At 40.5% G+C, this 27,923-nt stretch overlaps 1 protein-coding gene across 12 annotated transcripts, besides 1 other annotated feature; it reads right to left on the bottom strand.

Moving 5' to 3' along the window:
* Window positions 1-356: 356 nt before the first annotated feature.
* MDH1B (malate dehydrogenase 1B) lies at window positions 357-27,922 on the bottom strand. Of its 12 annotated transcripts, NR_138467.2 has the most exons (13): window positions 27,844-27,922; window positions 23,495-23,607; window positions 19,831-19,965; window positions 19,492-19,634; window positions 17,603-18,099; window positions 13,528-13,669; window positions 11,614-11,777; window positions 8,881-9,020; window positions 8,216-8,267; window positions 7,871-7,963; window positions 3,648-3,976; window positions 2,187-2,255; window positions 357-1,105 (listed from the first exon to the last, which is right to left on the bottom strand). NR_138467.2 is itself a non-coding variant. In NM_001330224.2 (12 exons), the coding sequence occupies exons 5-12, from the start codon at window positions 18,036-18,038 to the stop codon at window positions 1,077-1,079; spliced, it is 1,083 nt and encodes a 360-aa protein (NP_001317153.1). In that variant the 5' UTR covers window positions 18,039-18,099; window positions 19,506-19,634; window positions 19,831-19,965; window positions 23,495-23,607; window positions 27,844-27,922; the 3' UTR covers window positions 357-1,076. The 12 variants fall into 12 exon arrangements, 8 of the variants coding, with proteins under 8 accessions (NP_001317153.1, NP_001269869.1, NP_001034934.1 ...); NR_138468.2 differs by lacking the exon at window positions 23,495-23,607; NM_001330224.2 differs by lacking the exon at window positions 7,871-7,963 and having other exon boundaries at window positions 3,648-3,698; window positions 19,506-19,634.
* Window positions 27,701-27,840: an enhancer, noted in NCBI's record as "active region_17027". NCBI's record gives its function as "activates an Ori minimal core promoter by ATAC-STARR-seq in GM12878 lymphoblastoid cells {active_cell/tissue: GM12878}" and the evidence as "EXISTENCE:reporter gene assay evidence [ECO:0000049][PMID:35858748]".

A 27,923-nucleotide genomic window follows, 5' to 3' on the forward strand; every position in this document is an offset into this window, starting at 1 on the left:
TCTTCACAATAACATCAAATGAAGTGCTGACTTTGGAAACAAGCAGAAGTCAGTCATGGGTTTGAAATTACCCATTGCATTATGATGGTGCAGAAGCAATGCAGAAGATGCAGCTACAATTTCCCTGAATTTTCAGAAAGTGATTTGTATCTTAAGAGCTATTAAACATACAGAGAAAGCACAGATATCAGCAGTTCTTCACATGACTCCTGGGCTTTCAAAAGTTCCTAATTGGCATTGGTAAAGGGCCTTATTAGCTGGAAAATATCTCAGCATACTGGTTTGGCTATTACTGCTTTAATAAAAGACTGTAATTTTTACTTAAACCATGCAATTATATAGTAAAAATATTAGGCTTTTCTTTCAAAATTCATTTTATTCAGGCCATATCTCTTGTCAAGGAGCAGAAACCTATTCAATCTAAGCTTTAAAAAAGTGTGATTTATTGTACAGACCTTTATACAAAGCACACTCAAGGAAAAATGGTACAGAGGCAGGTCTTATGAAGGTGGTGAACCCAACCAGCTCTGAAGAGCTCACAGGCACATAGTTCACCACCATTAACCTGACCCAGACACCAACTTACTCACTGGTCTCAGTTCAATTTTTTTTTGAGAGACAGAGAGAAAATATGATTGGTTCTCCTTGAGTGAAGTACATCTGTTTGGCCTAATTAGTTGAGGCCAAGGTGATGAGGACATTTGAGCAAACATGGCCACTTAGGTGCAGGTCTTAGGTATGGCTGATGGAAGGAAGCAGGTTCTCTCAGAAGATGTATGGGCAGATGCAATGACTGACAACTCTATTTTAATGTAATATAAAAAATAGCATTTGACACCAAAATAGTTCTAAGAAAATGCAATTATTATGAAACAAACATGAGTGGATACAAGTAATGCAAAATGACGGAACTCTGACCTCTGTGCTGTCACAGTGATTTAATTGCCTTGCATGGTATTATCTAAGACTGACATAAATCTTTCAAATTATTCTTCCTTAAATATAGACATTCATATAAATTCTTTCTATGTTTATTGTGCTATCAAGTAATTATATATTTCATCCAATTTGATCTGTTAGGATTCCACGGTTTTGCCTTCAAATTCTGTAAAAGGAAAAGAATGAAAAGACATAACTATTTCCAAAATATGTTAGTAGCATATGTTATTATTAGCTTTTTTGTTTGCTGGATTCCTGTATTCATGATTCAATAGCTGAGAAAGTGCATGTGTGAGAGTGATTCTATGGGGAAATAAAGCCATGAGATCATAGTTAGGTATTTTCATATAGCAAAACTAATTGTGGCCTCTTCCCTGGCCACAAGCTATTTTTATGTGCTCTCTCCTGTCACCTTGCTTTTCATTCCAAATTATGTATGCAGCTATGTTGTCAGCTCCATTTCTGCTCGACTTTGCTGCTCCTCTATGTACCAATTCTAATTCCCCCTGATTAGCCCCATTCCTAAGTCCATCATACCATACATTTCAGAATGAAAGGTGCATGAAATTTTGTTCATTTTATTGGACATTTAAATAAAAGGGTGGGGGCTTGGGTGAATATCCTGATTGGTCAACCACAAAGAAATCTACGTCAGCTTTGTTTTCAACTCAGTTATATACTTGGGAAATCTGGACATGCAGATTACTTGTGTCAATTTCCTTACTTATTCATCTTGAGGGAAGGATTTAATGAAGGATTTAAGGATTTGGTTGCAAAAGTGGGAAGCAGGCCAGGCACGGTGGCTCACGCCTGTAATTCTAGCACTTTGGAAGGCCAAAGTGGATGGTCACTTGGGCCCAGGAGTTTGAGACCAGCCTGGGAAACATTGTGAGACCCTAGATCTACAAAAAAAATTAAAAATTAGTTGGGAGTGGTGATGCATGCCTGTGGTCCCAGCTACTTCAGGGGCTGAGTTGGGAGGGGCACAAATCTAGGAGGCTGAGGTTGCAGTGAGCTGTAACCGCACCACTGCACTTCAGCCTGGGCAACAGAGCAGACCTTGTCTTAAAAAAAAAAAGTGGGACGCTGGGATCCAGGAGAGTAAGCAACCAAGGCTGGGTCCCTGGGGAATGTGGGAAGTGGGGAGGGTTTGACAAGAATAGTATTGCAAGGAAATTTGATCCTCTATTACCCAGTTCCACTTGTAGAATAAGAAAATACTAGTTAATGTTTTGTCTACCACCTACCATTTAGGAACTCAAGACTCTGTGGCTTTTCAAAGGTGGTTTGAGGAATCTGATTTGGAAACTCTGCTGCTGCAAATAGAGTTAAAAGAATAGTTTTTAGTATGTAAAGCGCAATAATTTTTGCAGTTATTTCCATTTTCTTCTATCTTGTTCCTTCCACTCTGAGGTTTCTCTGAATGCATTGCTCTCCTAGGAGTTACAAGATGCTAGACCACTGTTATATAAAGTCTCAACCATTGATGATGACTTATCTATGTCCTGAGTGGACAATATGAACAAGCAGATGTTCAGTCAACTGCTCAGTATAGCATCTTTCTACCAACATCCCTATGAAGCCTCCTTCCCTGGCCCCCATAAACCACTGGGCAACTTCTCAATGATTGCTAGCTTCCTTCTAAATAGATAGTTTCAGATGAAGCCATAAAAATGGAAACAGACTAAATTATTATTTTTTTGATATATGGTTTGTATAGGCAGCTTTAGAAAAAATACAATTCTCTACATAAATATTTGCAAGCACTCACATTATATGTATACAGTTGACCCCTGAACAATGTGGAGGTTACGGACACCATTCCTCTGTGTGATCAGTAATCTACACGTAACTTTTGACTCCCCCAAAACTTAACTAATAGCCCACTGTTGACCAGAAGTCTTGCCAATAACAGTTGATTAACATATATTTTGTATGTTATATGTATCACATACTGCATTCTAACAATAAAGTGAGCTAGAGAAAAGAAAATGTTATTAAGAAAATCATAAGGAAGAGAAAATATATTTACTATTCATTAAGTGGAAATGGATCATCATAAGGTTCTTTATCCTCATTTTCTTTATGTTGACTAGGCTGGGGAGGAGCAGGAGGAAGAGGAGGCATTGGTCTTGCTGTCTTAGGGATGGCAGAGGTGGAAGAAAATCTGCATAAGTGGACCTGCACAGTTCAAACCCATGCTGTTCAAGGGTCAACAGCATATGTGTGTGTATTTATGTAATACATTATAAATTATATATATGATGAGATATATATACACATAATGAGACAAAAAATCCCAGATTTTCCCTGTTAAGGAGAATTCTAACTTGGTTCTCTCGGTCTTTTCCTCTCACCTGTGTTCTGAGGAAGATGCTATCTTGCCCTATTGGTTATTTTGGGCTTCATAATAGAGAATTGAGAAGAAAAGGGAAAGGTGAGAAGCAAGAGATACAAGGGACTGGAGCTGAAGTTAGAGTATTTTGGGAGAGTTTGAGGTGAATATGACAAGGAAGCAGTTTTAGTGCTTTTTAAAAAAAAGTTGACATTTTTATGCCCATTTCAAAGTGTTTGTGAAGCATATGAAAAGAAGCAGTTATTTAAAACTTGCTTTGGTCGCTAGACCATAACATTATTCTCTAACAACTGGACAATATGAGTCACGACTATTAGCAATATAGACATTGTTTATAACCCCACTGACTTACCATCTGACATAGCTAGATTTTTTTCTTCATCAGGGACCAGATCTTTATGTCCTGAAATCAAAATTAAATAAAACATGCTGGATTTAGAATATAACCAACAACCTAACTAGGTCATGAGATGTTCTGAGTCAATGTTTTTCAAACTTCAGTGACTATGACCCACAATAAAAGACACATTTTACATTATAGTCCAATGTGTACATTTGTGTACATATTAATGAAACAAAAAAATACATGAAATAATACTTATCTTTTTCTAATTGTGATGGTTAATACCGAGTGCCAACTTGATTGGATTGAAGGATGCAAAGTATTGATCCTGGGTGTGTCTGTGAGGGTGTTGCCAAAGGAAATTAACATTTGAGTCAGTGGGCTGGGGAAGACAGACCCACCCTTAATCTGGTGGGCACAATCTAATCAGCTGCCAGCAAATATAAAGCAGGAAGAAAAATGTGAAAAGGTGAGAATTGCCTAGCCTCCTAGCCTACATTTTTCTCCCATGCTGGATGCTTCCTGCCCTCAAACATTGGACTCCAAGTTTTTCAATTTTGAGACTCAGACTGGCTCTCCTTGCTCCTCAAGCTTGCAGACAGCCCATTGTGGGACCCTGTGATTGTGTAACTTAATACTCAATAAATTCCCCTTTATTTATACATAAGTATCCTATTAGTTCTGTCCCTCTACGGAACCTTGACTATACAGATTTTGGTACCAGGAGTGGTTCTAGAGAAACAAAATATTAAGGATGGAGTTCTTTTGTTGGTTTTCGGGTTTCTGGAGTTGGCTGCTTAGTATGATTCGACCTCCAAATGCTAAGGACCTAAGGACTCTACTTTTAATAGTATGGAGAACACTGATAGTCCTTGGCATGAACTGTTTAATGAGTTATGCAAAATAAATGAATTTGACACTCCTGATTCACTGCCCATGAGAGGCAGGGAGTTTAGTGACTCTATACATAATACCTTTGACCATATGTGGTGAACAAAGGAACATAATGAAGCTGGTTAGCTGCTCCTAAGTTCAGTGGACAAAGTGATGAAAGAAAATGATGAACTCAGAGATTCTGTCTCCTGGCAGATACTGAGCCTCAAATCTGCAAAGATTGCCCTGAGTGAGTCTTATCTCCTGTAGAGAAAGAGCTGAAATTGTGGAAAAACAGACACAAGCTCTTATTATGTGAGTGGTTGAACTGCAACGAAAAGTGTATGCACAGCCTTGCCAGGTGTCTCCTGTTAAAGTGAGGGCATTAATTGGAAAAGAATGGGATGCTGCAACTTGGAATGGAGACGTGTGGGAGAACCCTGATGAAGCTGGGGACACTGAGTTTGTAAACTCTGATGAACCTTTTTTGCCAGATGGAACAGCTTCCCCATACCCAGTAGTGGCAACATCCCCTCCCTGACCCATGCTGTCATCAGCCTTTCCACCTTTGTCTGAGGAGATAAACCCTGTGCTGCCTGAGGCAAGAGTGACGGCCTCCCCTGAGGCAGTTGCCAGGGAAAATGTTGATTCTCCTCAGTAGCCACCCCTAACACCCTTGTTTGCTTCTAGACCTATAACTAGACTAAAGTCTTGGTGGGCCTCTAGAGGTGAGGTTGAGAGTATGACCCATGAAGAAGTGTGCTACACTCAAAAAGAGCTGCTTGATGTCTCTATTTTTTTTTTTTTTTTTTTTTTTGAGACAGAGTCTCATTCTGTCATCCAGGCTGGAGTGCAGTGGTGCAATCTCAGCTCAAGCTCCACCTCCTGGGTTCACGTCATTCTCCTGCCTCAGCCTCCCAAGTAGCTGGGACTACAGGTGCCTGCCACCATGCCTGGCTAATTTTGTTTTTGTATTTTTAGTAGAGACAGGGTTTCACCATGTTAGCCAGGATGGTCTCGATCTCCTGACTTTGTGATCTGCCCACCTCGGCCTCCCAAAGTGCTGGGATTACAGGTGTGAGCCACCACGCCCAGCCGATGTCTCTAATTTATATAAACAGAAATCTGGAGAACAGGTATGGGAATGGATATTAAGGGTATGGGATAATAGTTGAAGGAACACAGAGTTGGATCAGGCTGAATTTATTGACTTGGGCCTACTAAGTAGGGACTTGGCGTTTAATGTTGCAGCTCAGGAAGCTTTCTACTCTGGTCTCATTTCTGCCCTCTCCATTGCACAAAATTGCTCTCATTAAAGTCACAAATGACCTTTGTCATACATCCATTGGGTATTTTTCAGGTATCATTTTATCTGACACACCAGTAGCATCTGACAGTGTAGAACAGTCCTTGTTCTTGAAACACCCTCTGCCTTCAGGTCTTTTACATCATCAGATTCCAGGGACTTATCCTGACTCTCTGACCACCCCTTTCTCATGGTCCTCTGTCAGTTGCTCCTGTTCTACTTAACCATGACAGGCTAAGTTCCTCCAGGCTTTTTTCTCTTACCTTCTCTCTAGACAATCTCCACCATACTGATAGCTTCATTTCTATTTATGAGGCAACAACTCCCCATTTGGCAACTGTAGTCCAGATCTTTCTGAGCTCCAGGAAGTATGCAGTTCTCCATGTGACATTTCCATTTTAGATATCACACAGGTATTTCAGAATCAAAATGTAAGAAATGAAACTCATGCTTTTTCTAATCTGGCACCATGCTTCTTCCTCTTCCATCCACAGGCGTGCATGCACACACACACCCCTCCCACATTCTCATATTTTCTCTCTCTCTCTCATTCTTTTACCATTTTCCCCTTATCAATAGTAAATCTGCCCAGTTGTTCAGCCAGAAGAACCCTGGGATTCACCAAAGCCAATCAGATTCATCAGCAATTCTTGATATTTCCACATCCTAAATATCTCTCAAATTTCTACTGCCTCTGGTCTTGGCTGTATGCACTCCCCCTCAATACCAGTCTTTCTGCAAACAGCCTTGCCTTATTCCAGGATGTTTTTCAAACTAATCCCACAACTGACCAGGTTCTCTCCATCTAGAAATCTTCTGTAGCTCTCACATCTACTCCTCATGGCTGTATCTCTCAGCTCCATCTCTTCTGGCTTTGGCCACATGAGCTTTTCCACAGTTTTTCCAAACAAGTTGATATGTACTTTCCTGCTTCAGATTCTTCCCTTCTATCCGCAGGCATGAGCTCTGACAGCACAGCAGCCAACATTTACTCCTCCCACGCACCACAGTTGCAGTCATCTATATAATGTGTGGCCAGCCTCTTGATGGACTGCAGGTTCCCAGAGGGCAAGATCAGGTCTATCTCATTCACCTCTGTATTTCCAGCTCCTAGCACTGGCTTATAGTTGGTACTGCACACACATTAGCAGAAGGAAGGAATATTGGGCTCCAAAAGACACTTGACTAAAGCCCTTTGCATAAATAAATTGATTTATTTCTACATGTATATATCCATACCTAAGATGAGATCATCTTTAAGGCAAAGAAAAGATGTCAGCCCTCCCCTATTTCTTATGAGTGGAGAAAATACCAATAAGAAAAATAAGCTTCTTGAAATTTGTTGGCTTTTAATAAAGTTATCTAAAAATAAATCTGGTGTTGTGAGTTGAATTGTGTTTCCAAAAAGATATGCTGAAGTTGGCCAGGCATGGTGGCTCATGCCTGTAATCTCATCACTTTGGGAGGCTGAGGTGGGTGGATCACGAGGTCAGCAGTTTGAGACCAGCCCGGCCAACATAGTGAAACCTCGTCTCTACTAAAAATACAAAAATTAGCCAGGCATGGTGGTGTGCACCTGTAGTTCCAGCTAATCAGGAGGCTGAGACAGGAGAATCGCTCGTACCTGGGAGGCGGGGCTTGTGGTGAGCCGAGATGGCACCACTGCACTTCAGTCTGGGCAACAGAGCAAGACTCTGTCTAAATAAATAAATAAATAAATAAATAAAATATATATATATATGTTGAAGTCCTAACGCCTGGTACCTATGAATGTGATCTTATGGGAAATGGAGTCTTGGTGGATATAATCAATTTAAGATGGGTTCAGACTGGTTTAGGGCAGGTCTTGAATGCAATGACTGGTATCCTTAGAGAGAAAGAGAGACTTAGAAACACAGACACACACAGAGGAAAGATGGACATGTGAAGAGGGAAGCACAGGTTGGAGTGATGCAGCAACAAGCCAGGAATGCAAGCAGTGCAACCCAAAGCTAGAAAAAGCAAGAAGGAATTCTTTCTCAAGCCTTCAGAGAGAGTGTGGCCCTGCTGATACCTCACATCAGGTCTTCTAGTCTCCTGAGCTGTGAACAAGTAAATTTCTGTTGTTTTTAAGCCATCCACTTTGTGGTAATTTGTTATGGTAGTCCTAGGAAATTAATAAATATGTTACCTACAACATTTATAAGATCATAGTGTTCATAAGTTGTGTTTTCTTTAACATTCTTATGAGATGTTTTATTTCAAAGGACACATTGAACTTAACAGTTTATTTTGTCATTAGTTTAGAAATGACAAAATATAAATGAGAGTTATTCATATTAACAGTGATTCAGTTATAACAAATATTTTAATACTCTTTTAATAGCAGTCCAATAAAACATCACGTCTAAGAGCTTACCTGATTGGTATGGCTGAAAATGTATCTTGTCTCCAAGTGCAACAAGTTTCTCCTGTTGAAATTTTATAATCACAGAATTAAATGACCACAATTCCTAACTTAATTCTTCTTTTTTTTTTTTTTTTTTTTGAGACAGAGTTTCACTCTTGTTGCCCAGGCTGGAGTGCAGTGGCGCAATCTCAGCTCACCACAACCTCTCCCTTCTTGGTTCAAGCGATTCTCCTGCCTCAGCCTCCCGAGTAGCTGGGATTATAGGCATGTGCCACCATGCCCAGCTAATTTTTCTATTTTTAATAGAGACAGGGTTTCTCCATGTTGGTCAGGCTGGTCGCAAACTCCCGACCTCAGGTGATCCACCCACCTCGACCTCCCAAAGTATTACAGGCATGAGCCACTGCACCCGGCAACTTAACTATTCTTTAATAGAAAAACACCTTGATTCTTCATTTTTAAATAACGAACAAATATTTTTAACATACCAGAAATTGTATAACTAAATGAGTAGTGTTCCTTCACTGATTTTTTTCAAACTTTTATTATCTCATTATTTTTAAGAATTAAAAAAAAATTTGAATCCATAGAAAAACCAATGTATGCCTTGGCCTAGGAGAATCAGTTTAAGGTCATTATCAAGGTCAGTCCCCTTGCATCTATTCTGACATTACCTGAATTAGATCACTTGTCATTCGGGTCATTATTTGTTCACTTATTTCAACATCTTTGAGATCTGTAAGAACCACCCAAGTTCCATTCTCAAATTTCACAGGCATAGAAAAGACGATCCCTTTCGGAATACCAAACTGGCCTGCAGTGAGCAAACACAAAGCAAAGCAATGCAGCAGAACTTAGAAACATGCACCTTTTCTGTTAAGCATTGTAGAAAATGACAGACATAGTATAGGATTTTTAATGATAATGATGGAATTAAATTTCTCGGAATTCTTCTCCAAAGAGGACTGAAACACTCCCTCTAGAAGGATTGACTGAGCGACTATCCAAGTTCTAACAATTCTGCCATCTGTATTTATCTGACATCCAGAGGCTAATGCAGTCTTTCTCTTTTGAACCCTGTCTGTATTCTTTTTGTCTGTCTGCATGGCTTTTCCCTGGACCCCTATGCAGCCCATGAGCCTAAGTCATTTGTCCATCTGGCCTTCCACTCTTCTCACCTGCTACAGCACTCACACAGCCAGAGTATGAAGAATTGGGAAGGGAAAGGAGGGGAGGCAGGAAATTTGGTTATTCCTTTGCAGCCCCCAGTTTGCCATGTGTTTTGGTGTGCGTTTGCTTCATGGGGGATGATTTCCTTTACATATTTCTATGTCTTAAGCAGAAGCCATCCTTCATTTAATAACACATTTAATTTCTTTAAGATATACAGAAATACTTATATTTGGATGTGCTCTAAATAAAAAGATTGACCATATTTATTACTAACTGAGCACCATTCAGACAAAATTGTCCCCGTTTCTGGTGCCTCGATCACATAAGAAAATTATTTCTGCCATACTAGACAACAAAAATATCACCAGGGCAAAAAAACAAACAACAACAACAACAACAACAAAACATTGAGGACATTCGAGAAACCAAGATCTAAAAGACTTTTCCTTAGAGGGCTTCCCAGGTCCTCAAGTAATGCTGTATTTTGTTTAATCTGTGAAGAGCTAGCCTTATGGGCAGACAAGGTCTGAGGGTTTACCTATTTGGTATGGTTTCAGAGAGACAGATAATGATCATTTACCCTCCTCCCCCAAGTACTGCATTGTTTATTTTTGAATACAATTCCTACAGAGATTAATTAAACTTTCTTTCTACAAATAAAGGTAAGGTTTTAAGTGCCTATTTCCCTAAGGAGATAATTTGCTGATCTGAATTCACATTATGGCAATGTTCATGCACCTTAACTTCAATTGAACAAGATTGATTGAGTGTCTACCATATAAAATGCTTCTCCTGTGAAGAAGCAAAGAGGTGGCCCAGAAAAAGCCTTTGCCCTCAGGGTGCCACAAGGAAGGGGACAATGCAACTAATCATACTATCAAAAACAGGCACACTATAATATTCTCCGTGATAGGCGAACAAAATGCTATGTGGGGATACGGAGGAGAGACAGAGATTAATTCTGACATGGGGGATTTGGGGAGATTTCCTTAACCTGTACTGGCGTCACTGAAACAATAGGGAAGATGGTGGTTCTACTTATAACATAAAGAATACAAGAGATGGAACCAATTGGGAAGGATGACAGTACATTCAGTCTGGTATATGTTGGATGGAAGTGATGACATGACATCCAGGTGACAATGTTTCAGAAGCTAGAGCTCGGCAGAGAGGTCCAGGTCTGCAGCTCTGGGAGTGAATTAGCTTGCTAAGGGAGAAAGTAGAACCCAAAGGGAAGAGATGCTTCAGATAGACCTTACAGATGACAGAACAGCAGCTATTCTCTTTCCTGTTTTGTAAAAATGGTAGAAGTCAGCCGGGCGTGGTGGCTCAGGCCTGTAACCCCAGCACTTTGGGAGGCCAAGGCAGGTAGATCACAAGGTCAGGAGATCGAGACCATTCTGGCCAACATGGTGAAACCCCATCTCTACTAAAAATACAAAAATTAGCTGGGCATAGTGGCATGCGCCTGTGGTCCCAGCTACTCGGGAGGCTGGGGCAGGAGAATCACTTGAACCCAGAAGGAGGGGGTTGCAGTGAGCTGAGATGGTGCCATTGCACCCCAGCCTGAGCGTCACAGCAAGACTCCATCTCAAGCAAACAAACAAAAATGTAGAATTCTTCTGCATAGTTTTTAGCGGATTAAAACATTAGGGCTGTAAAAGTTTATATGCAGTATTCGTGGATGGAGAGCAACCTTTCCACATTCCCAGCGCTGCCTGGTACCCTGAGATCTGGGTCCTGAAGTGCCTCTCTCTATCCTGCCTTTGTGTCTGTGCTCCTATGGTTCCCTGTGCCCAGTGTTCTTTCCACACTTGTCTTCCAGGTCAAAGCTCCTCATACTTTAGGCTTACTGTAGTGTCACCTTCTTTATGAAGCCTGTCCTGGTTCCACCTGCTTCCTGCCTAGAATTGACCTTGCTTTCCCTTTATCTATTGCTAGGAAAACCTAACAACATGATTTTGTTTATGTATCTGGCTCTTGTTTATTCCACTGTAGGTTTCCTGAAGGCAGAGGCCAGGTCTTAACTCCTATGTGTATTTCCAATGCATCCATACAAAATATTGTTGACTTTCTGAATGAGTAATTGAATGAATGAATGAGTATGAAATTGTAAAAGTCCAGGCAGCTAATGGACCATGTTAAGAGCTAGATGGGTGGGGACACAGAATTAGGAGCACGAGTTATAGATAGAGGTTTTAAGATTTTACAAGATATGAAAAACCCAGATTTACCTTCACTCAATATTCCTAAAGATACAATCTCCCCAGGTGGTGAGCCATGGTACCAGTATTTCAGTGTAGTGGCTATACTGTGTGCAGCCAAAATGCCTCCAAATTGTCTTCCTGTGGTGGTCAAGTTTTTAAGAATTGCCACAAATTCTCTTTTTACCCACTCACTGTAAGGAGAGAAAGAAACAATTTTACAATGGAGAGAGGAATTAAAGAGAAAAAGGATGTTCCCTGGCTCAGTGGAACTAAGTATCAGAAACCTAATCCACAGTCAAAATAGAAATACAGCTTTATTTCTAGTGTCTTTCCTCAAGTGTCTTTGATCCCCATAAAAAGTCAATTGAAAAATAGTGAAATGTAGTAGAAAGGAGTCCCAAGATGTCAAACTAAAAATATGATACTATAAATATGGAACATAGAAAAGTGGCTGAAAATGGCAAGAACCATTATTTTCATTACAAAGAATTGATCCTGTGTAGACTCTACCTTGGAACCAGTAGTACCCTACATATTAAACAAAATAATTTCATTAAACATTGAATTACAGGTTGCGTATCCCTTAGCCTAAATGCTTAGGACCAGAGTGTTCCAGATTTTGGAATATTTGCATATACACAATGAAATATCATGAGGATGGAACTCAGGTCTAAACACAAAGTTCATTTATGTTTCACATACACCTTATACACATAGCCTGAAGGTAATTTTATACAACATGTTTAATAATTTTGTGCACAAAGCAAAGATTGTGTAAATTAAACCATCAGAAAGCAAAGGTGCCGAATGTAGAATTTTCCACTTGTGGCATCATGTTGGTGCTCAAAAAGTTTCAGTTTTTGGTGCATTTCAGATTTCTGATTTTTGGATTGGGGTGTTCAAGCTGGATTCACGTTGAGAATTAGGAAAATAATTATGTTTTTATGATCTGAAGTCTAAATTCAGAGAATAGTCCAGCTGGTTAGCTTCTGCTAACCCTGCACGACACAGCTCTATGCAACACTGGTCCTGCCCACGCAGCAAATGCAGAGGAATCATGCTTCAAAATAGTGAACTCGGGACACATCATCCCTAGGCAGGGGCGAAGCTCCTATGGTCTGAGGAAGAAAAGGAAAGCAAAGGGCAATGGAAAGAAAATCCTACAACTGGGAAAGTGCTGCAAAGTTTAGAAAAAATGCTTCAGAGGTGCTCCTTCCTGCTTCTCCTCTGCCTCATCATAATTGCTAGTGCTTATTGTACAGACACAGCCCTAAGTCCTTTATTGGGAGTAATCCATTTTATCTTCCCCAAGACCCTATAGGGAGGACCCTTATCATGTTACCATTTCCACTTTGCAGATGAAAAACTGAGTTACAGAGAGGCTGCTTAGCCTCTCTGTAACTCAGTTTTTCATCTGCAAAGTGGAAATGGTAACATGATGGTCACACAGCTACTAAGGTCACACAGCTACTAAGTGGCTAAGTGAGAATCCCAGCCTGGGTGGCTTGGTCCTAGGACTGTGTTCCTCACCACCTCTTGCTTCGGCCTCCTGCCACAGAATGCCCAGCCTGGCCTGTGCCTGCTCATCGTCTTAACTCCTTTCTTGAAAACGTTTCAATTAATTTCAACCTGGATAGATAGCTCTGTCTTTACACGAAGTAAGATTCCCTTATACATGCTTGCTTTAGAGATAACCTTACTTGAATATATGAACTACTGAAGGATCTGAAATATAAAAATTCATAATTTCAAAATCAAATCAATTACCTAGTTGATATTCTGTGGAATTTTCTGTTTCTTCAGTAGACAGCATGAACAAATATGAGTGTGAACAATGCAAGTTATTTTTGTACAAAGATTTATGAGATGATTTAAAAGATTACAACCATTAAACATTTATTTTAACATTGTCAGTATGCTTCACTTCAAAATATACTGTACCTGTCAAAAATCAAGTTTAAAACAGGGCGTGAATAATGAAGAGGTCCCCAAATGGCACTCTCATATCTGTACACCCTTGTTTTTCTCAGATCAACGTAATTATTTCCACTGATATTACCCCAAATGATCACGTCTTTAATGTCTGTGAAGAATAGAAAGTTTAGAAAAATAATAATAATGTATGTTAATATAAAAAATTGCCTGAAGCCTATTTTTTGTTTGCGTGCATGTTTGTTTTAGGATTGGTCTTTTTGGTATAAAATGAATCTAGGTTTATGATTCCTAAAATTGTGCAAATTGTGTGGATCACCTCCCTAACTGTCATAGTTTGGCAGTCCCTAATAATGTTCTATGAATGGTATGGTGTATAATTAAATTAAAGAAATAATGAAATGTTCCTTGAAAGAAACTGCTACTGAAAATTATTTCACTGGTGTTTGTCCTGACTTTGCTTACCATTGAGAGAGAGAGAGGTGGAGAGAGAGTGAGTGAGAGGTCAAGAGAGGTGAGGGAGAAAGGACTTTTTAATATGCTTTGGTTTTTCACAAGGAGTTCTTGTTCTAGACTAGAATAGAAATTAGGGCAAATCATTTAACTCTCTGATGGGTTTCATCTCTGGCAAAATGAGGATATTGTAAGAGGACCCTGGGCAACATCTTAGTCAACAAATAGTTATGAATTCTATTCTATGTGTGAGACACCTCTAGGTACCAGGTTTAGAAGAAAACAAATCAGCCCAAATCCTTACAACATTCTAGGGGTGGTGGGAAGTGGATGAGAAAACAACTATTATACAAAGCGATACATGCTAAGAAGTAAAATAAGACCATAGTGGTTAGAGAGAAATAGGCATTGGCATTCAATATGATTTTATCATTGTTAACTGTCTAGGAATGTTGTATGAAAACTTTAAATAAATAATTTTATTTACTTATTTAACTTATTTGCCTAAAAACTTAATCACTTTTAAGTCCACACCACTTCTTACTGTGGAGATTAACTTCTTCCCTCTTCTCCTGTATAAGATTGCTTTTGTCTTCAACTAACAGAATATCCTACTGACTTGTCTTAACTAGAAGGACTACTTTTCTCAGGTAATTCATGGTAGGCAGTGACATGTGCTGGTTCAGCAGCTCAGAGATGTGATTCTCTTGGCCTTCCCCTCATGATCATAAAATGGCTGCAGCAGCTCCAACTATCACCCTCTGTCACACAGTTGTGTTCAAGTATTACCCTAACACAGTTGTGTTCAAGGGCAGGCAATAGGGAAAAGGATGGGGTAGAAGCTTCCTCTTTTGCCTTTTCTCTTTTCAAAAAGTGAAATATTCTTCCCAGGGGACCCCAAATAGACTATATCACTCAACCACTCCTAGTTGCAATGAAGCTAAGAAAAGGGATGATTGTTTGAGCCTCTATAGTAGAGAGAGGCTAGCAGAAGAGAGCAGGAAACAGATTTTCGGTAGCCCACCATCACTGTCTACCTTTGTCCTGTGAGATTCCCGCCCCCATCGGAATGATTCCTGCAGTAGGAATAGCTAGTTCTCCCTCCACCACCCAACTCTCAGGGGAGTTAGTGATGTGCTCCCGGGTCCCTCAGCTGCAGGTTGTAGGAGGGTGGGGAGGGTGGGAGTCAGGGTTTGGAGCTCATAGGATCCCACATGGGGAAAATAATTCTTGGGCCAGGTAAGCATATGGTAGGCTTCCTTCCTACAGCCTAAAGAACCCTTTTAATTGTGCTGGGTTTCATTTTTCTTATCAGCTTTGAGGCCCTTGATAGCTCTAAACATCCCAAATTATGCTACAGAGAATGATAGTGGACATCTGCTTTCTTCCCTCTTGGCATGAATTTCCCCTCCTCCTTTTTTTTTTTTTTTCATTAAGAGCATCCTGATTCTTCTTTAAATAACTACTCCTTCTCCAGTGTCAGTCCCTATCTGTCGGGTGGGACTGTCCTCACGCCTTAGGTCCACCTATAGGCATTAGATGCAGATTCCACCCACCCACCCCCTGCCCCTGGCCATGATGATTGATTTAGAGATGGGCATGCAGTCCAAGCCTGGACGAGGAGTTTGTATTCCTTTTTGCACAAACAATTGGGAAAGAAAGCCCTCATTCTCCTGGGGTACGTAAACTACAAGCATGTGAGTCTGGGATGCCAGTGACCATTCTGCCACCTTTTAGGGCTGAACTGAGAAGATCAACACAGAGAGCAGAGCAGAGGGATAGGCCAGCAGAGAGAGCACAGGTATGTCCTGGCACCACCGTTTGAGCCCCAGCATCCAGCTATGTCTGAAATAAGAACTACCTCCTGTGTTTTTCAGTTATGTGGGGAAAAAAGTTCTCTACTTGACTTCAATCACTTTGTATTTTTTTGAGTCAAGGTCCTTCTCTGTTGGCCAGGCTCACTGCAGCCTCATGGCTCACTTGCAGCCTCAAACTCCTGTGCTTAAGTGATCCTCCCGCCTCAGCCTCCCAAGTAGCTGGAATTACAGGTGTGAGCCATGGTACCTGGTGACTTCAGTCACCGTGAGTTGACTTTTTTGCAACAGAAGGAGTCCTGACGAGCCAATACACATGGTCTGATAAATAGTGATTTATGAACTGAACTTAGGGGTTATCATGAATCTTGCTTTTCTGAAAAGGTTTGCCACCCTCTTGGCATCTAGAATAATCCCTGAATCATTTCCTTGGTGGTTTTTCTCTTTCATGATGTTTTGCTCAACTTTGGTCATTGCTGGCTGTCTCTTTGCTGCCTCACTGACAATTCTACTTGGACTCTGTCCCTCTAATGCCTTTTTCCTTTTACCAACTTTCCTCCATTTTTCTTTTTTCTGCTTCTCACATGCTTATTGGATTTGAGTAGAGTGGAGCTTAGAGTCATGGCACCAGCAGACCCACAAGACAGCAGCTTTCTGGCTGAAAGCCCCCAACCCCCCTCAACCCCACACCCCACCCACACATACACCTTGTTTTAGATTCTTCTTGATACTTTTCAGTAGTGTATCATAGACTTTCTGAGATAAGTCACTGTCTACACATATAATTATAAGGTTGATGACAGAGATAAAATAGAAAAAAGTTTTCATTTCCTTCTGAATAATTTTAGCATCAATTTGGTTGAGTGTTGTAGTGACTGTGGGGATAAAATACTAAAGATATGTATGCAAGAATACCGGAAATTATTATTTACAGTTTCATTGTAACAAAAAAGAAAATATAGCTCTGGCTATAATGTTAGGGGTTCACTGAAGCCTAATTGTCCTAACTGGGAACATTCTAGGCTCACATTTCATTGTCTTTCCAATTTTGCTTGAGAGAATGCCTGTCATCTCCTTCCCTTCTCAATGGACACTGTTGCACCTGCTCCATCTAAGGGCAAAAGTAGCTAAAATATGTCCAATATTATCTCCCTTTTCAAATACAACAATCCATTTTCTGATCTAGTCTCATCTTCTCATCTTCCTATGATTCTGATATTTACCATTCAAAGATTAATAGGAGCAGAAACCGATCAGATATCATAATCCTATTGATAAGTTTAACATCCTTAGAAATGTTTATTATGTGCCATACACTCTTCTTAGCACTTTAGGAATACATCTCATTGAATCCCCACATCAATTCTAGGAGATAGGCACTGTTAACGTCCTCATTTTACAGATGAGGAAACTGACGCACTGAAAGACTAAATGACGGCTCAAGATCATACGGGTGGGAAGTAGGGCAGAGCCACTTGCACATAGTTTTGATTTTTTTTAAAACACTGGTTATCTTAATTGACTATTACCATGGGAAAAATGGAATACGATGTGTCACATTATCACCTGAATAATATAAATTGTATCTTATTAAATATTTATTGATTTTTATAATGATGGAAAAAGCCAGACACAAAAGCCAGTAAAAAAAAATGTTTGCACAGTAGTCAAATCACACAATAAGTTCTTTATGTCTGTTTTATACTTCCTATTCCAGATACTCAGAATGTTCCTAGAGGGGACAGTGTTCTTCCTAGCTGCTTTGAAATCATGTTGTTTCAAAATAAAAACAAAAACATAAAGAGACATTCACTCACATGAAGGAGCTGTCTTCAGTTTTCTGGCCAGTATGGCTTTCGCTTCACCTTCCACCCCCAGCGCCACAGCAATAATGTTGTGTGCAATGCGTGGGGCATATCTCATGAGTAAAACTGTCTTCAGGTTTACAAAGGTTCTCCCTCCCACGATGACTCTGACAGACTCATGAGCATTTTTCTCTATCAGGTACCCATAGAGCCTGCAGAGAGGCACCCTGCTTCGGAGGCAGTCCTCCAGAGTGAACACCTCCTTGTTGGTGCTGTCATCCAGCACCACAATGACGTGGGCCTGGCGGAAGGCCTCCTCCACCTTCGTGCAGATGGAGACACTGCGCAGGACGGGAGATGCCAGGTCTTGGGTCTCCACCACAAGGCTTTTGAGATGTTCTTCCGCCTGCTTGTTGTCAAATAGAGTTATGCTAATTTCTGTATGCATCCCAAACACTTCGCCACTCGTCAATATGGGAATTAGGTTGTAGCAGGCAGGAGCAGAGGCACTGATAAAAATGCAAAGCCGCATTGTGAATAGTTATATCCTTTGTCCCTTTTAAGCCTTTATTCTTAATAGATATTTCTGCATGTGCATCAATAGGGTGGTTTAATATTTAAATAAGCACACACATAGCTGCCCTGACATTCTAAGGCTAGAAGTCAAAAGTAGAACAAAAACTTCTCACTACCAATCCCTTGCTCTGGCCATCTGAAATCAGTCCCCAAATAAGAAATATACCTGTTTATTAGGTTTTTCAAAGAAAACAGAATTCCCCCTATGCAGAAATCAAAATAAAAAAACTATTATATTACTGTAATTATGTGTTTATATTTCCTCCTAAAAAGATAAAGATGTAAGTTTCAGTTAGCCATAGCTCTTTTTTAAAAAATACAACCTCATCTACACAATAATGACTTTTTTTTTTTTTTTGGAAAGGGCTATCTTTTCCAAATTCTTACACAGAAAAATCCTTACAAAGATGGTGGGATCAACATAGGCTATGTAAGGTGTATCTGTAGCCACAATTCTGCAGTTGTCTACAGCTGTGACTATCAGCTGTGAACTGTAATGCCCACCATGGGAAGTTCAGAAATGCATCCGGGCATTTCTGGTATTCACAGTGGGTTTGGGGAGGTGTATAATGGGGGTTTCAACAGTATCTGTACCGATTTAATCCTTTGAAACATCTAAAGAAGATGTGATAGTTATTAAATCTGGGTTATAGGATCATGGATGTTTATTACATCATTCTCAATTCCTTTCTGTATTTAAAATATTTCATAATAACAATTTTAAAAATGAGTATATATTAGGATACACATGCACGTAAGAGCAGGAAAAGTGCAAAAGACAAACTGAGGGGTGAGGAAAGGAGAAGGGGAGGGAGAGAGAGAGCAAGAGAGACAGAGAGACAGTGCAGAGAAAGAAAGAGAGAGAGTATGACAACAAAGACTGCATGTGCCCAGACTGGGAGCAAAGTGGAGCACACATGAGAAGGAGAAAAGCAAAGGGGAGCAAGGCGAGGGGAGTGGGGTTACAGAGAGGGAGTGGGTGCATAGAGAAAAGGCAAAGAAAGCTCTAGCACGTGGGAAAGAGGGAGAGAGCAACAGTCAGAGAGGGTGAGCTTCTGCAAAGCAGCCATGCTATAGAGTTGTTTTTAGACCAAGTGACTGTGTTTGTGTCTATAAAACATAAAACTCATTTATGAGTTATATGGAGGATACAAACACACACACACAGAGATGCATATGTATATGTGTATACATATAAGTATACATACACACAAATTTCAAACCTGACATTCAGGTATTCTTCCATCATGAAATTAATCCCATCTCATTGTCCTTTCTAAATATAAAAAGTAAATCTCATGAATCCTGGGATTTGACTGTCCCACCTGGTGATCCAGACCTGCAAGGGGTTGATGCAAGTTTTCAGGGCTTCTTCCTCCTGCTCTTTTTCTATATGTGCCCCCAGGTTCTCTTGAGCAATTACCATCATCAGTTCAGTCGTCATGCTAGAGGTGACATCATAGTAAAGCTAAATATTGGGAGAGAAAAAGTCAATATCAGAGAATAGATAACTAGTTGAAATTGGCTATAATGGAAAGTTTTTGTTTAAAGTCAAAAGACAATAAAAAGAGACATGAGAGAATGTCTCAGAAAGCAAGATATTTGAAAAATAAAATAATGTAAGAGAATTATCATTATTAGAACAGATAAGTTAACTTATATACCTGAGCATGCTCCAGGAACTCATTATATCCTCCCAAAAGCAAACCCTTTCCTCCACGATCCAACAGCTCTCTCCAGATGATAGGGGAATTCTTGTGACTCCACTTATTCTTTTCACACACATCTTTTAGCCAATCCTGTTGAATGATATCCCAAGTGAAGTCATATATTAAATCTGCCTGAGAATTCAATTTCATACTTTAGAATTCAAACATTAAAATACTAGGTTGCTTTTAATGTCACTATATACACATAATATAATTTAGATATCTTCAAAGAGTAAAATGTAAATATAGAAAATAGTGATGTTAGTAACAGATTAATTAGATAAGAAAGCATATTCTTCAAATTAATTGACCAAATAAAGGTACTGAAAGTTGCTCTTTTTGCTGAGGAGACCTGGAATCCAAGTGTTTAGCTTAAAGAGAGGTCACATGTTCCAACTCAACTGATTTTTAAAAAAATTCAACTAGTTTTGCCCTTATTCTTTTACACATGCAATATTTCCAGTCTTAGGGGCATATAAAACTTGATACTTTTTTTAAAATCTGTGAGTGTGGTTTATGTAGTTCAGACTAAATTAATAAGCTAAAAGTTATTTGGAGATTTCCGACAATATTTATCAGAAAAAATTTAAATTATCATTATCTGATTTATATAGGCTAGGCCTTCCAATGACAAGATCTGAGTACAGTCAAACAGAAACATTTTTATCAGCAAAGTACATGGCAGCAGTCTTAAAAACCACGTCATTGGAGGCATGGGTAATGAGGCCACCTTACCAATAAAATCCTGGAAACTGATTTCCTTGCTAATATTGAAGATCTGCCTGCCTTTATCTCACTTAAAGCAAACAATGCTGCTATGAGGATTCCAACACGGTCCCTCTAGCCACAGCATAGCCAGACCAGTGAACTACTGGGCCCATGAAGGAAAGAGACATTACCCCAAAAAACCTTCTGCACCCTGCAAAGCATGTTAATGTCCCAGCAGGAGCTGCAAGGGCATGTACAAGACTGGACCCTTACAGTGCTGAATCAAGAGTGGAACATGAAGTTAGACAAGGGAGAATTTATTAGTATGAATCACTTTTCGGCAATTCAAGAGTGTATACCCTGGCAAGGACCTCAGAAGACAGGGACAACATGTTGCCAGACTGGCTCTTAGAAACTTGGAGAGAGTAATTAAATAAAATAGAAATGCCAGACTTCATGGAAGACGGTAGAAGAATGGATCAAAAGACTAGTGATGCCAGGTGTGGTGGCTCACTCCTATAATCCCAGCACTTTGGGAGGCCGAGGCGGGGGGAACATCTGAGGTCAAGAGTTCGAGACAAGCCTGGTCAACATGGTGAAACTCCATCTCTACTAAAAACACAAAATTTAGCCAGGCGTGGTGATGGGTGCCTATAATCCCAGCTACTCAGGAGGCTGAGGCAGGAGAATTGCTTGAACCTGGGAGGCGGAGGTTGCAGTGAGCCGAGATTGCACCATTGCACTCTAGCCTGGGCGACAAGGGCGAAACTCCATCTCAAAACACACACACACAAAAAAAAAACTAGTGAACGTGGTACTATGGAAGGCTAGAAAGCCCGCCATTCAACCATGTTCTCTGGAAGGGATTGGAGGATACAACATGCACCTAAGTGATAAGGAATGCACTGGTGAGAGGGGTCCTGGTGTCACTGAGGAGCCCAGTGTGGCTGTCCGTTCTAGGCCAAGGCTGTTTGTTTTTTTTTTTTTTCTTTATTTAAACTTCTATTTTAAGTTCAGGGGTACAAGTGCAGTTTTGTTACATAGGTAAATTTGTGTCATGGGGGTTTGTTTTACAAATTATTTCATCACCCAGGTATTCAGCCTAGTGCCCGTTAGTTATTTCTCGTGATCTTCTTCCTCCTCCCACCCTCCACCCTCCGATAGGCCCCAGTGTGTGTTGTTTCCCTCCCTGTGTCCACGTGTTCTTATCATTTAGCCCCCACTTCTAAGTGAGAATATGTGGTATTTGGTTTTCTGTTCCTGTATTACTTTGCTAAGGATAATGATCTCCAGCTCCATCCATGTCCCTGCAAAGGACATGATCTCATTCCTTTTCGTGGCTGTGTAGTATTTCATGATGTATATGTACCACATTTTCTTTCTCCAGTCTATCATTGATAGGCATTTGGGTTGATTCCATGTCTTTGCTATTGTGACTAGTGTTGCAATGAACATATGTGTGCATGTGTCTTTATAAAAGAATGATTTATATTTTCAGGGGTATATACACAGTAATGGGATTTTTGGGTTGAATGTTATTTCTATCTTTCTATGCTTCCACCAATAGCCTATAAGTGTTCCTTTTTCTCCACAACCTCGCCAGCATCTGTTATTTTTTGACTTTTAAATAATAGTCATTCTGACGGGTATGAGATGGAATCTTATTGTGGTTTTGATTTGCATTTCTCTAATAACCTGTAATGTTGAGCATTTTTTCATATGATTGTAGCCAAGGCTGTTAAAGGACATGCTGCCACACACCTGAACTCCCTGGCAATTGAGATGATAAAATCCTGAAACAATAGAGGCCAGTGGGCAGTGCCAACCAGACAACATTTATTGTAACAGAAGCACTACCAACCCAGCAGATGAGATAACTTAGCTGAAGACCAGACCAGCAGAGAGTGAGGGAAATCTATAATGGATGGTAGAGAAGAGAGGGAGAGAAAAGGTGATGACTGTCAGTTTGGCCCTGAAACTATGAGCAGTGGAGACTATAGTTCATTTGACTATCCTTTCTCTTATCAAGTTTACCCAGGGAAAGATGGCAACCAGAATCCTGGAGGAGCTGTTCCAAGATGGTGTGAACTGATTATAGGGAGCATGTGGATCCAAAAGGCACAACAGGTGAACTGTAGCCAGTGCTGTCATGTACACTCCAGGTTCCCCCTTCACAAATGAGGCACTCACTCTCCCAGGCACCTGGTGTATTAGAGGCTGATAACTTAAAGTCTGACTCCATTCTCTCTCTAGGAATTGACTTCAGCCAAAGCAAATTGCCTTGCCTAAGGTTAAGTTCCTTCCCAGGGGCAGCTGATATCCGATGGCTGGTTGAGGAGGGAGCACAAAAGCTCAGCTACCTTGCCTCAGTTTGGAATAATTCTGAAAGGCCATCAAGAGTTCACTGTGGGATCCGCTGAGCCCTCTGTTGCAGCTATGTCAAACTTCAACTTCTCCCTTTACCCAATCCTGCCACCCTCATTCCGTTTCAGGATGCTGTTCCCAAGACCACTTCCCAGTAAAGCCCCTTCACCAAAATCTACATCTCAAAGTCTGTTTCTGGGGAAACAGAGTCCCAAAGAAGGGTATCCCAAATAAGTCATTGGAAATCAATACCAAGGAGAATGAAAAGTTAACAAGTGCAGTGTAAGCTACCTGGATTCTTCAGGGGGTGCAGTCAAACTTATTCTACTTATTGATTAGGGTCTCATTTGTTCTACTAGGTATTAGGGAAAAAACATAAATATTATTTTGAGACTGGTAAGTAGGGACTTGTTTTACTAGTATTCAAATATCACTAGCACATGAACAGTCATTCCTAGAAGCCAGTCTAATACACCAGTTAATATTTAATCAAATTAAAACACATTTTGTGCATGAGTGAGTTCAACAAACTATAAAGGCTTCTTACCTCCCAAACCTCAGGACGTTGTGTGATTTTATGTATCCGAAAATCAGGAAGATTCTTTTGTAAATAGTCTGCCACAAGTTCTGTTTTAGCATAATATGGACAATCTGCTCTACCTAAAAGAGTTCAAATTAGCAATGTTTTCTTTCATCATGCAGAAATTATTATGTAGTTCTAAGTATTTGCTATGTAATTACAGAATTAGTCATAGTTATGATATAATTTGATAACATAAAGTTGCAGTATAAACTGCTATTACATAAACTTCTGATGTTTATTAGATTAATACAAATAAAATAAACTTCATAGGAGGTCAGAATCTTAAGTAACAAAATGTGGAAAGAAAAAAAACCCTACTGAATATTTATTCTTTTCTAGTAATATGCTAGACCTCACTTCCTCTAGGAGGCTGCTAACTACTACTAATTCAGCATGAATTAGTACTGATAATGAACTACTCACTAATGGCCACCAAAAGGTAAAGTTTGAAGTGAGGAGTGGTGGTAAAGTCACTTTTGGATTTGATGTGTGTCAGGAAGTTGTGGGGGTGGGAAAGAAGAATCTGGGATAACTTCTATTTTCCGGCTTGGGCAGATGATGCTGACCTTAACTAGAGAAAAATCATGAATGAGAAATTTAACTTTAGTCAAGTGCAGTTGGAGATACTTGTAGTGTGTCTAAGTGGATATGATCAGCAAGTAGCTGGATATATATGTATATGTATATGTACATGTATATGTATATGTATACATATATATGGGGTGCAGGTGCCATGTAAGGGTTTCAGACACACAATTTGTAGCCATCAACACCCAGGAAGTTAAAGCCACTACAACAGATGGAATTGGGCATCTGATAGAGCAGGAGGGATGGGGAAAAATGCAGAGCCCTCTCTGTAGCATTCTTCCTCAGTTAAGATAACTTAACTCCTAAGTTACCAACCTGTCTGAAGCTACCCCTGTCTATCAGCCACCCTGTCTAGTTCAAATCTATGGTTCATCTCTTCAAACCACTTTCTGGTCCATGTCTTAAATTATCTTTCTCCACTATCCTTTTGGGAAATGAGCCTGATAAAAGCCCCTTATCCTGGATGAACTCAATTACTTGCCTTTTCTGTAGCTGGGTCCTACCTGCTAGCCACCACTACAGAAACATTGTAGAACCAAGCGGAGGGCACCTTTAAAATTCATGGTCACCAGCTTTAATTGGCCCTCAACCCTGCGTGGAGATCCCTCTGTTTCCCTTATCAGCACTCTCTTCTGTTCTCCTCATTACTATTCCAGTCTTTTTCCTCTTCCTCCAAATCTTTTCCTTCTCCCCAACATTCCTCTGCATTATCAGAACACAACAGACAACTTTGCTTTTTACTTTACAAAAACCAACCCAAACAAAACAAAATGGCATTAGTTTGGAAAATCTCCAACCTCGTCCATCACATCTACATGCCTGTCTGTACTTGGACTCATCCTTTCCTCCTTTCTTCATTTCAATGGAAGAGGAGTCCTACCTCCTGTCTAATCTAATCCCACCACTTATGCTCTGAATCCCATCCTCATCTGCCTTCATAGGAACCTTGCTTAGTTAATTATCCTCTCTTTCTAGAGTCTTGTATCTGTTTCTAATAGTCCCTTTCTGTCATATTTAAATATACTCATTACATTATGTTTCTCCTGTCCTAAGAGACAAAAAACTCATCTCCCCCTCTAGCTATTGCCTTTCGTATGTCCTTTTTGATCAAAATATCTTGAAAGAGTTCCCTATATTTGCCATCCTCAGTTCTTCACTTCCATTTATTTCTCACCCACTGCAATGTAGCAGACCCCACAATTCTCTTGAAGGTCACTGAAGACTTCCATGCCACTAAATCCAGCAGATACTTTCCGATCCTTTTCTTGTTGACCCTTGGCAGCATTTGCCACCACTGCCCCCTTCCAGGCTTTTGAAACACTGCTATAGTGGGGGCATTCTCCCAGTTCTCCTATTCTATGGTCACTCCTTTCTATCCTTTGTAGGTTTCCATTCCTTTATCAACCCATTAAAAGGTATCATTCTGAGAAGCATCTTGTCTTTATAACTTACATATTCTTTTTGGCCAATCTGCTTCATTCCCTTGGCTTCAAGTAGCAATCTATATTTCCAGCTCAGATCTCCTTATCTAGATGCCTACACCCTCCTGTATTTTCCCATCTCCTTCAAAATGTCTCATAGACACTCAGAAGGTCTATGATGTATTTTGTCACCATTCCCCTACTAAATGTGCTTAGTCGCTTATATTTATTATGTCCATCTCCCTAATTATCTAAGAGTAGTAAGAGTATCCAGAGTATTAAACCTACTCATCCGCTTTTTTTTTTTTTTCAGTGACTCCTAATCTCTGCAATTATTCAAACCTCTGCTTGGGAACAATGTTTAACTCCTTTTTCTCCCTTATCTGCCCTCCTCCAGTCAATTAGACATCCAGTTCTATAGATTCTGCCTCCCTAATATCTCTCCAATCCATTCACTTCTCTCCATCTCCATTGTTTGCCACTCTAGGCCAGGTCACAATCAACTCCCTCCTGGACTATAGCACTAGTCTCCTAACTGGTTTCTTGGTATCCAGTCTTTTTGTCCCACACTATAGCCGTAACATTCAGATAAAATTCAGATTTGATTAGGCCCTCCTCCCCTTCTAAAAACCTTTCATGTACTCTGGATAAAGTCTAAACTACTGAATGTGGCTCAAAAGAATCTACATTATCTAACTCTAGCCTCACCTTATGAAATTCTCTTCCTTGTACTATTTGCTTCAGTCCTAATAAACTTATTTCAATTTTATACTTATTTTATATTCTCAATTGTCACCAAACTAGTTCTCCTTGCTCTAACCCCACTCCCAGTTACCCATGCCTAAATTGCTCCCCTCCTTTCTACCTCTTCTCTGTTAGGTAATTCATTATCATCTTTCAGGTATCTGCTTAAAATCTCTCCCTCTGGGAAACCCTTACCTGATTAAGTAAGGTCCCTGCTATCGTTCCTATAGAACCCTGCCCTGTCAGTGTCATACATGCAACATTCTCTGTGTGTTTTCCACTGACTTCCCACCATGTGGTTAGTCAGTGTTCAAAAATATTCTTCTGGGCCAGGTGTGGTGGTGCATGCCTGTAATCTTGGCACTTTGGGAGGTCAAGGTGGGCAAATCACTTGAGCGTAGGAGTTCAAGACCAGCGTGGGCAACATGACAAAACCCCATCTCTACAAAAATACAAAAATTAGCTGGGCATGCTGGTGTATGCCTGTAGTCCCAGCTACTTGGGAGGCTGAGGTGGGAGGATCGCTTGAGCCCAGGAGGTCAAAGCTGCTGTGAGCCACGATTGCACCACTGCAATCCAGCCTGGGTGACAAAGTGAGAGCCTGTCTCAAAAAAAAAAAAAAATCTCCTGTGGATGGTAGATGTCAATTGTGTTCAATGCATCAAAGAGATCAAATAAGTCAAAGACTAAACAGCTTCTATAAAAGTCAGTGGTGACTTTGGTGACAGCAGTTTCTGTCAGGAAGCAGAAGTAGAAGCCTTCTTCCAAGACTGATTGGAAGGCAGAACTGGAGATGGAAGAGCAGTCTACTCTTTTAAGAAACTTTACGAGGAGAGGAGGTAGGTACCATGGATTGTTGTAATAAAAGCCTTCTCAGTTGAGTCCTTGCTGTCAACCAGCACTTTCAATCATTCTCTCCGTTGCTGCCAAGACAGGCTTCCTAAAATGCAAACTCATTAAGACTACTCTCCTGCTTAAAATTTTTCTATAATTCCTCATTGCTTTCAGGATACAGTTCAAACACCTTTGCTTGACCTACATGAAATGCAAGGACCTGGCTCCTGCTCCTGTTGTAGCCCCAGGTCCTGTCACGCCCCACATATCCAGATCTTCTGTTAGGCCAGGAAGCTTCCTGCCTCTCTGCTTTTATTTGGAATAGCCTCCTCAGCTCACACCTTCACAACTCAGCTCCTGTAATACCTTCCCCAGCCAGTTCCTTGTGTCCACCTCTCCCTCATCCCCCAAACCCAGATTAGGAGTCTACGCTCCCAGAGGCCTGTGCAGGTCTCCTTCATCGCGTTAATCACACCGTATCAAAAGTACATGTTCTGTGCCCCATGAGACTGAAAGCTCCTCTAAGGCAGGGATATGTTTCCCTCCATTGCATCCCCAGTGTCCCACAATGCTTGGCGCACCGTCACGGTCCAGTAAAAAACTTTGAATAAATCTATAGCAAAGCATGGAGCGGTCCGTATAGAGGCTGCCAAGCCGAGCGGCCATGGGAGGTGAGCTGTTGTCGGCGTTTTGAGCAATCTGCGGGCGGACGCGGGGATCACTCACCCGCGATGACGAATTTGGCCATGGTCGAGAGAGACTCAGAGGCAGGGACCGCGGCTTCGCGGTTTCCTGGCAACCACGCA

Source organism: Homo sapiens, chromosome 2 (genome assembly GCF_000001405.40).
Source record: "Homo sapiens chromosome 2, GRCh38.p14 Primary Assembly".
NCBI lineage: Eukaryota > Metazoa > Chordata > Mammalia > Primates > Hominidae > Homo > Homo sapiens.